The 10,835-nt window shown below is 49.2% G+C and overlaps 1 annotated feature.

Annotated features, from left to right (window-relative positions):
* Positions 7,261-7,420: a silencer, noted in NCBI's record as "fragment chr22:44923943-44924102 (GRCh37/hg19 assembly coordinates)". NCBI's record gives its function as "represses an EF-1alpha promoter that drives an FKBP-Casp9 reporter gene in an ReSE screen in K562 erythroleukemia cells {active_cell/tissue: K562}" and the evidence as "EXISTENCE:reporter gene assay evidence [ECO:0000049][PMID:32094911]".

A 10,835-nucleotide genomic window follows, 5' to 3' on the forward strand; every position in this document is an offset into this window, starting at 1 on the left:
ACTTGTCACTGAGGTTTCTTTTCTTTTTTTTTTTTAATCTTGGAATTATAGTGGTGTTTGCTAGTGTCCTGGAAAACTATCAAATTAGTGTTGCCTCCCATGCTTGGGGGCATCTTAGGGATGAGGAATGGATTTTGCATGCCACCTCGAATCTAATTTGGGAAGAAAGCTGCGAGTGGGTGGAGGGACGGAGAGAAAGAAAACACAGTGTGGGCTGGGCGCAATGGCTCATGCCTGTAATCCCAGCACTTTGAGAGGCTAAGGCGGGCAGATTGCTTGAGCCCAGGAGTTTGAGACCAGCTTGGGCAACACAGGGAGACCCTGTCTCTACCAAAAAAAAAAAAAAAATTATTGGGCATGGTGGTTCTAGCTACTCAGGAGGCTGAGGTGGGAGGATGGCTGGAGCCTGGGAGGTAGAGGCTGCAGTGAGCCATGATTGCACCACTGCACTCTAGCCTAGGCCACACACTAGGACCCTGTCTCAAAAAGAAAGAAAAAAGAAGAGAAAAGAAAAGAAAGAGAGAGAGAGGAAGGAAAGAAGGGAGGGAGGGAGGGACAAACACAGTGTGTATGCTCTACTGTATGAGGGCAGGGCAACCCACAAATCTACATGCCGTGGTGACTCAGGATCAGTTAACCAGAAAAGGTGAGGGAAGTCCCTGTGCCTGGAGGATGGGGACCTGGGATCTGGTCACGGAAGCACCAGTAGCCATCTGGGATGTATCCCAGGAACAAACCCACCTCCCATGTGGCCCAGAGGCTGATGCTCAGGGGCCTTTCTCAGCCGGCAGCTTCAAGCCCTGCCTCTCCATTTGTTCTGTGTCACGGGGCCACCTGGTCTGGACTGTCACCTTCGAATCAAAATTCACTGAAACATACAAACCTTCAATGCTTGACTTAGTGTAGGGTGTGTGGCTCTAGTTATATTTTTTTCTAGTGTACGTTGGAATAAATGAGAAGCTGGCTTAGTTTGGGCCTCTTCAGAAGTTCACAGCAGGCTCGACAAAGCTGAGGTCTGATGGTCAGATTCAGCCAGTATGAACACAATAAACCACTCTTGGAGACAGTTTATTACTGACATACACAGTGAATGGAAGAGGAGCTGAAAGTGCCAGCTCCCTGGGTCTTTGTCCCACACACAAAAGGACAAGACTGAGCCACAAGGGACTGGGGACTGTGACTGAGCGTGTGGGGTCTCCTGTGGTTGAGGACCCACGTCTCGGCTGCAGATACGCGTGCTTATATTCTGCATTCATCCCAAAAGCTGGGGACGCTGGGAGTCCCTTGAGAGCTGGTGCCTCAGGGACCCCTGGCAGTGTCTATCCCCCACCCTCAGCACTCACTGGATGAGGGGTGTTCCAGGGATGTGAACTCTTCAGGACTTTTTTTTTTAGAGACAGGGTCTCTGTCACTCAGGCTGGAGTGCAGAGGCAAGGTCATAGCTCACTGCAGCCTCAACCTCTCATGCTCAAGCGATTCTCTTGCCTCGGCCTCCCAAGTAGCTGAGACGACAGGTGGGTACCACGATGCCTGGCTAATTTATTTACATTTATTTATTTATTTATTTTTGTAGAGATGAGGTCTCACTATGTTGCCCAGGCTTGTCTTGAACTCCAGGGCTCAAGCGATCTGCCTGCCTCGGCCTCCCAAAGTGCTGAGATTACAGGTATGAGCCACCATGCCTGGCCTCTTCAGCACTTCTGAGCAGGACCAGCTCTTGCAGAGATGCTGCCAACCAAATGGACGTTGTTGGTCTTTAGCGACAGCATGAGCCTGTACAAGCCACTGGCCTCCCTGTGCCTCTGTTTCCACATCTGCAAAATGGAGACACCACCTTCTGGTGTAGGAGACCGTTTTGGCCCCACGCCACCCCCTCAGCTCACCCTGCCAGGCTCAGCAGAGCACCCCCAATGCCGGGACCCAGGCCACTGCCCATGCCCCGCCCCTAGTGCCCTCCAAATGTCCCCACCTCTGTGCTTTCAGGCTTTTTCTGAAGCCAGGAGCTTACTCAGCCTTCCCCCCATGGGGAGCCTGGACGTGGAGGGGAGTCACCACCCTTCGGGACAAACCTCAACTTGTGGGATTGGGGTCAGTGGAGAACAGCCCTGCGTCTTATTGTCAAGGTGCCTTCTACACAGCCACAGGGCCCTGGAGGGGCTGGGCACCCCCTGCAACAGTAACACTCTCTGGGCAGGCTTCCCTCCTGACCTGCCTTGCCCTGCTTCCTGGGACTGCAACCTGTACCAGCACCTGCTTCCCTGGCGGCCCACACAGAGCCGCCTCCCTGATGGGCTTGCTGTGGGATTCGGTGAGTTACACAGCTCATGGCAGGGCAGGAGCTGTCACTGAGAGGTCTGCAGGGCAAGGGCAAGGGCAAGAGGAGAGAAGGGAGGGCGCCCATTTGTGCTTCGAAGCAGCCGCCCAGGCCATTGAATGGCAGTGGGCCTGGGGGAGCTCAGAGCATGTCCTAGAAGATGCTGTCAGGATGGTCCAGCCTGGAGATGGGGCCTGGGATGAGGGGCTGCGGTGAAGATGGGGGTAGAGAGGCAGACTGGATACTGTGAAGAGGCAAAGTCCTCAAGATTTGGTGATAAATCAGGAAAAGAAGATGAGGGAGAGGGAAATGTTAAGCATGACCTCTAGGCAGAGCGGCTGAGTGGGTGGTGGTGCCAGCCACGGAGATGGGGAGCTCTGGCAAAGAACCAGATGTGGGGACCACTTCCCACCCTGCCCTGAGGCTACCAGCCTGGCTGTGACCTCTCAAAGGGAAGACTCCATGTCGAGAGAAAAGTCAGAAAGGTCCCCCAGCCCAGACAGTTCAGGGAATTGTTTTCCCTAGAGAGTCATCACAATTTTTTTTTTTTTAAGACGTTTTGCTCTTGTTGCCCAGGCTGGAGTGCAATCACACAATCTTGGCTCAATACAACCTCCGCTTCCTGGGTTCAAGCAATTCTCCTGCCTCAGCCTCCCAAGTAGCTGGGACTACAGGCGTGCACCACCACACCCAGCTAATTTTTTTGTATTTTTAGTAGACACGGGGTTTCACCATTTTGGCCAGGCTGGTCTTGAACTCCTGACCTCAGGTGATCCGCCCGCCTTGGCCTCCCAAAGTGCTGGGATTACAGGCATGAGCCACTGCACCCGGCCAATTCATCACAGTTTTTAAAAGCAATTGAAGTGAAGGTGATACTGAAAAACAAGTCATAATAATGACTGTTTCCTATAAGTTTGAGAGATTAAATTTGTATCAAGCTGGCTATGGCCCCAAGGCCAGAGAGATTGAGTTGTGGATTCCTTTTCTTTCCAGCTCCTCATTTCTACTGAATTAGAAAATCCCATCTCACAATTCCCGACCTTTGACAACGGCAGGCAGCACACTATGGCTCCTTCTGGAAAAGACAGGCTGAGATCACACAAGAGGCAGTCACTTTTGACAGATTTCTTGCAGAAAACGGATCCTGCCACTGCCAGACTCAGTCAAATGCTGGAGAGCAGGCTGCAAGGAAGATAACAGGAAATGGGCTCCTCACCCGCTTTTTCACTGTGCTCAGCTCTGGACATAGTTCACATTTGGTGGCAGCTCGTGGATGTGATCCCTTGTGTCTGATCCTCAACTGCTTTTCCCAGCAGTTCTATGATTTGGTCTTTTTGAGGCATCTGTGACTTTCCTGGCCTGAAACAACGGGTCCGGGGCCTTCCTGGTACTAAACAGACACTAAATGGATCCTCCTTGAGCCCCTGGACATCTGGCAGGGATATCCACTCACTTTATCCGTGTCAAGAAGCAGAGGTTTATGTGCTGTTTCGTTTCAAATCTCTTCGTGAGAATGTGGTGCCTCCTGTCAGTGACCTCCCAGGGAGAATTCAGACGCCTCAGCAGCTGTGCTTCGTCCTGCTGTCAGTGATTCACGTTAATTCCTTCGATGTGAGGCAAAGTTAGGGCATGGAATTTTTTTTTTTTTTTTTTTTTTTTTTTTTTGAGACAAGTCTCACTCTGTCATCCGGACTGGAGTGCAGTGGTGTGATCTCGGCTCACTGCAACCTCCACCTCCTGGGTTCAAGCAATCCTCCCGCTTCAGCCTCCCAAGTAGCTGGGATTACAAGCACAAGCATGCACCACCACGCCAGGCTAATTTTTGTATTTTTAGTACAGACGAGATTTCACTATGTTGGCCAACTGGTCTCGAACTCCTGACCTCAAGTGATCCACTCAAAGTGCTGGGATTACAGGCCTGAGCCCCGACGCCCAGCCAGGCACGGATTTGATGGTTGCCCCTACAGGGAATTAGATGGTGACACATTGTAAGAACCAACTCGAACATGCCTTTTCCAGTCCACACCATGGCTACCAGAAAATTATCATCCTCATAACTTAACTCTGTGAAAAACCTCTTTTCCTGAAACATGGGCTTTCAAAAGTCAAGGAAGAAAAAGGGACTTCTCCCTCAGGTTTGACCAGAAGCTGTTTGGCATGGTGGTTAAGCGTGTGTATGGAGATAGTTGGCAGGGCATGCACCTCTCCACTGCTAGCTAGCTGTGTCACCGTGGGCAAGGTAGCCTGCCTCCATGTCCCTTGGCTTGTTAGTTATAAAATCTAAATAATAAAAGTATCCCGTATTAAATAAATACATAAATAAAATAGAAGTAAATGTTACTGAATGCTTGCAAAGTGCTTTTAGCACTTCCTGGCCCAAGCACGTACTCACAAAATGCTAGCTGTGATCACAATCACTTTCCTCAAAACCATCATGCTTCATACCGAACCTGTCAGGACCTGATTCACCCTCTTTGCAGCAGACGTTTTCCTGGGTAAAGAGAAGTGACCGCTGACAGGCACATATCCAGGAATTGCTCTTCCACATTCTACGTCCGTGCTGTCAGACAATATGCCAGAGTGCCACTTGATAGAGGATTCTGCTGGTCCTTTAGTTTTCTCCCCGAGCATCACATTTGGCACTAATTTGGGGGTTGCTTTCACTACCTCCTCAGCAGCCACTTCACCTCCTCTGCTTTCGCTACAGAAAGAGCAACTTTGAATGGTGTTGTTTTTGTCTCATTTCAGCCTTTATTAGTGAAATTACTCAATTTTCATGGGCACGCCTGGTTTTGTGCTTGAAATGCGATTTCCTTGCCAGAGAGATCCCCACACTTTCCTTGAAAAAGAGATGAAGCGTTCCTCCACTTCAGGAGGCTGTTTGACAAAGCTTCACAACAGATAATGAAGTGCAAGGTCTAAGGGGTGAGTTCACTGCTATGATGCAATCCATTTTTCAGAAACATGGATTTGCTATATTTTAACTCATGCTTGTGTGTTTGGGCCACTTGTGGAAAGTCATCTTTCAGGAGGTTCTCCTCTCAGGACCAACACAGACACCTCTCACTTGATTTACGATTGCGAGCTCATTCTGCATTCTCGCCATCATTCCACTGTCTTAATCACACCGTTGTGCGCTAATGGATCAATTCTGAGCTGCTGAAGCGTTTCTGCAAATTAGGAGCACAACACACTGAATTGTAACTATGATAAATGTAAATTAACTCAAGGAAATAATTAGAGGAACATGACGTGAAAGTATAGCACAGAGACAAACCGCCACCTGGTAGCCCCGTGCTCCCTGCGGCACCCTGGGCAGCGGCAGCCCCTGTAGTCTAGGTGTCCTTTGCGTCTTCCATGGATGGACAGGCCCCAGGGTCTCCAATCACACATGCACATAGTTGAATGAACGAAGAAGAATGCCATGCGGCATCTGGCAGTCATAGCCACCTGGCAGTGCTACGTCTGCAAGTGCAGTGTCCAAGTCACATCTTTGGTAGCTGTCATCCCTTCTAAGGACCTTTTGGTTAAATCCCAAGGGTCCAGGGACCTGGCTGATTGAGCAGGTGACCACAGGAAGGCAGGATATGGGGGATCATGGGGCCAGGAGGGCAGCCCAAGGAGCAGAGGCTCTCAGAACCAATGTCTCATCATCACAGACCTCAGACAGCGGCAGGAGCCCCGAGGCTGCCTGTTGGAGAGTGTTTCTAGTGCAAACACCAGTTGCCAGGCACTTCACAGCCTCTCACGTGATGCTCTCAGCAACCCTCCGTAGCTGCTCCCCTAGTTAGCCCGACTTTACCGATGAGGAGATGGAGACACCGAGAGCTGAAGGGACTCACTCAGCGGCATGAGCTCACAAGTGGCAGAGCCGCGACCCGAAGACCAGCCCCCACATCCGAGCTCATCACCAGCTCCCTAATCTCCACCACAGACAGCGATTTAATTTCCAGGGGCAGCAACCTCCTGGCTCTTGTTTCAGAAGAGCTGAACAGAGCCCGCTCTTCTTTACCTCGGGAATTCAGATAGCAGAACCCATGGCCCGGTGGAGCTCTTTCTACATCTTATTGGCGAAACCACGTCGTTTGCACATAAAAGATGCTCCTCTTTGATTCTCAGAGCAGGCAAGCAAGGCAAGGACAAAATGAGGCAGGAAGAAAGAGTGCACCAGGAGCCTGGAATAGAGCAGGGCTTTGGAACATGGGGGACCACTTGTGACAAGAACCCTCATAAAACCCTCATAAAATGTTCATCTCAATTGTTGTTTTAAGCGTCTTTATTCATGGGGTACACACAGCCATGATTTTACAAAAATGTGCAAATGTGATACCATCATTGATTGTAACAGGATATGCAATAGTGCAAAAATGGAAACGACCTAAGTTCCCAAGTAAAAGGCTGTAGCAGGAAAGTGCAGACTATTGAAAATTAGTGGAAAGGCACAGGATGAGGTGACATTCATTCATTCACTCATTCACTTATATATTCAACATATATTCAATATATGTTGGTTCAACAGGAGTATATAAATGAGGCTCGCTCTTTCTTCCTTTCTTTCTCTCCCTTTCTTTCTTTCCTTTCTTTCTTTCTTCTTTCTTTTTTCTTTCTCTTTTTTTTTTCTCAAAGTTTCACTCTTGTTGCCCAGGCTGGAGTGCAGTGGGGCTATCTCTGCTCACCGCAACCTCCACCTCCTGGGTTCAAGCGATTCTCCTGCCTCAGCCTCCCAAGTAGCTTGGTTTACAGGCATGCGCCACCATGCCTGGATACTTTTGTATTTTTAGTAGAGACAGTTTTCTCCATGTTGGTCAGGCTGGTCTCGAACTCCTGACCTCAGGTCATCCGTCCACCTCAGCCTCCCAGAGTGCTGGGATTACAGCCGTCAGCCACTGCACCCGGCTGAGGCTCCTTGTTTCTTGACTTACATTATTTTTTCTTTTTTGAGACAGAGTCTTGCTCTGTCACACAGGCTGGGAGTGTAGTGGTGCAATCTCAGTGCAACTTCTGTCTCCAGGTTCAAGTGATTCTCCTGCCTCAGCCTCCCGAGTAGCTGGGATTACAGGCACCCACCACCACACCTGGCTGATTTTTGTATTTTTAGTAGAGATGGGGTTTCACCATGTTGGCCAGGCTGGTCTTGAACTTCTGACCCCAGGTGATCCGCCTGCCTCAGCCTCCCAAAGTGCTGGGATTACAGGCGTGAGCCACTGCCCCCAGCCTTGACTTACATTCTAATAGGGATAATAAACACATAAGTAAACAAGATAAGTTAATAAAACAAGTGTTCTGAAGACAATAAAAGATGGAATGTACTGGAAAGATGGAACATGCTGAAGGCTGAGATGGAATGGGTTAAGGAAGCCTTCTTGAAGGCGTTGACCTTTGATTTGAGACCTGGACGAGGAGCAGGTACCAGCCACGTAAGTATGTGGGAGTTCAGTTTTCCAGGCAGCAGCAGAAGCAACTGCCAAGGCTGTAAGAACCAGGGTCCAAATCCTAACAGCACTTCAACCTGCCTGTGATGCCCAGTAGCCACCTACTGTCATATAATTGCAGGCAAAGAGCCTCACTCCCCTGAGCTGCAGGTTCCTCCTCCTACAATGGGGAGGGCAATAACGCCATGCAGCTTGCCAGGAGGATGGCAAGAGCAAGTTAGGTAGAGAGCTTAGCTCAGTCCCTGGTGCAGAAACATTGTGCCAAATTGTTACCCACATGGCGGAGGGCAGAGAGCGGTTAGAGGCAAACAGCCAGGGTTGGCTTCTTGGAGTGGTAGACTGGGGTGAAATTGCATTTGTTTTTTTAAGAGTTATTTTAATACAGCTGGCCCATTTCGGGGGCATGAACACAGATCAGGGTGAATTGCTGTTTTCCTTCAACAACTATGACCCCAATGGAATCACTGTTCTCGCCAAACCCCCGCAATCTCTCACACACACACACACACACACACACACACACACACACACACACACACACGTCAGGGGTGGAAGAACACCCTAAATTGGAGTTGTAGCTCTGCCACTGGCAAATTGCACAGATGTGGACTAGTGATCACTCCTTCTGGCCTTTTTACTTATCTGTAAAATGGGAAGCTGGAACTAGATTGCCCTTAAATCAAATTCTGTCTTCCTCAGTGTGGGTAGGCTGCTGGAACAGAATGCATTAGACGGGGCTGAAACAACAGAATTCTCTCTCTCAGTTCTGGAAGTCCAAGAGCCTGGAAGTCCAAGATCAAGGTGTTGGAAGATCCTGTGTCCTCACACAGCAGAGGAGAGAGAGAAAGAGAGAGATGACACACACGCTAACTCCCTGGGTTTCTTTCATAAGGGCACTAATCCCACCATGAATGCCCCACTCTTGTGACCTAATTACCTCCCAAAAGCCCCATCTCCAAATACCATTGCATTAGGGATTTAGGTTTCTACATGTGGATTTGGAGGTGACAACAAACATTCGGTCCACAGCAAATTCCTTAATAATCTGGCCCAACAAGATAATTCCATTTCCGCCAAGCACACTACTCCCCCTGAGGCCTCCATGCCTCTGCCTCTGATCTTTACTGGCTGGAAACCTTTCCTTCCCTTCACCTGGCAAGCTTTTTATGCCCATTTTATTTTATTATTGAGGTATAATTTATATATAGTAAAAGGCCCAGATCTTAAGTACAATTCACTTCCATAAATAAATTCACCTGATTAAGCCAAACCCCCGTTAAGATACAGAATATTTCCGTCACCCCAGAATGTTGCCTCGTGCCCCTGGTCCCAAGGCTGGGGTTGGGGTAAAGCAAACCACCAGAGCACATTTAAAGCTCTCCTTGGCCCAGCATGTTCCATTGGCCTGAACGGATCATACAGCCAAGGCCTGAGTTAAACAGGAAGGCTCATCTGCTTGCAGCACAATATGGAGGGTGAGAGGCTACAGGAAGCTAGGATCACACTTAGCTGAGGTCATTCTGACTTCACATGCCATAAAAATCCAAGCTGATAATACAACGTTATGCTGTCATAACAACCATCATAATACTTGTTTTTACCTTCGACTGAGCAAAGGTGAAAAAAAATGCTTGATCGTATTGGCCAGGTGCTGGAGGTCAGTCTCGCATGCCGCTGGTAGAAAGATAACTTGGTCATCCTTTCTGGAGGACAACTTGGTAACATTTTATGAAGCAATGAGAAAATGCTCAGATCATTCATCAGGCATTACCTTGCCATGAATTTCATCAGATGAGGCCACAAACATCTCCCTCCCTCTGAGGGTGCATCACCAGGGTTGCATGGAGTGGGTGGAAACTCCATTTTCTTTCCACAATCTTCCTTCCCTGCCCTCAGCCCTGCCACAGTCCCTGTGGGTAGTGTCGCTTTCAGAGCTTCCTTGCCTCAAGGCTGGGTCATGAGACCTGCTTGGAACGCTGGGATGTGGGCAGAAGGGACGGCATGGCTCTTTGAGGCATGCCAGGGTTCCACTCCCCCTCTGGCTTTCCTGCCCCCCACCATCAGAAGAGATGTCTGAGCTGACACCACTCCTTCTTCCTGGGTTTTGGGGAGAGGGGGGCAGAAACAGGTGGAACAGGCCTAAACCCAATCACAGCCCAAAATCGAGCACAGTGCTTGTCATTGGAAGCCACTGAGAGACAGGGAATGTTTGTTATGCAGCATTATTACAGCCAAAGCTGACTAATACGATGGGGGACATTTTAAAACAACTGAGCAAAAGTAGAAAAACATTGTTAAATGCTTACTGTGTTCCATGCAGGCACTTAACCAAGAGCTTTACAAATAATAACTCATGGCCGACTGTGGTGGCTCACGCCTATAATCCCAGCACTTTGGGAGGCCAAGGCGGGCAGATCACGAGGTCAGGAGATCAAGACCACCCTGGCTAACATGGTGAAACCCCGTCTCTACTAAAAATACAAAAAAATTAGCCGGGCGTGGTGGCAGGCTCCTGTAGTCCCAGCTACTCGGGAGGCTGAGGCAGGAGAATGGCGTGAACCAAGGAGGCAGAGCTTGCAGTGAGCCGAGATCGCACCATTGCACTCCAGCCTGGGTGACAGAGCGAGACTCCATCTCAACAAAAAAATAAATAAAAATAAATAAATAACTCATTTAATTCTTACAGCAACTGTATGTGGTCAGCGCAGTTTTCAAACTTATTTTACAGATAAGGAAACGGAGGCCCCAAGAAGTAAATAAGTTGCTGGGCACAGTGGCTCATGGCTGTAATCCCAGAACTTTGGGAGGCCGAGGCGGGTGGATCACCTGAGGTCAGGAGTTCGAGACCAGCCTGGCCAACATGGCGAAACCCCGTCTCTACTAAAAATACAAAAATTAGCCAGGTGTGGTGGCATGCACCTGTAATCCCAGCTACACGGGAGGCTGAGACAGGAGACTCGCTCGAACCTGGGAGGTGGAGGTTGCAGTGAGCTGAGATTGCGCTACTGCACTTCAGCCTGGGCAACAAGAACAAGATTCCGTCTCATAAAAAAAAAAAAGAGAGAGAGAGAGATAAATAAGTTGTCTCT

This window comes from Homo sapiens, chromosome 22, assembly GCF_000001405.40.
Source record: "Homo sapiens chromosome 22, GRCh38.p14 Primary Assembly".
Classification (NCBI taxonomy): domain Eukaryota; kingdom Metazoa; phylum Chordata; class Mammalia; order Primates; family Hominidae; genus Homo; species Homo sapiens.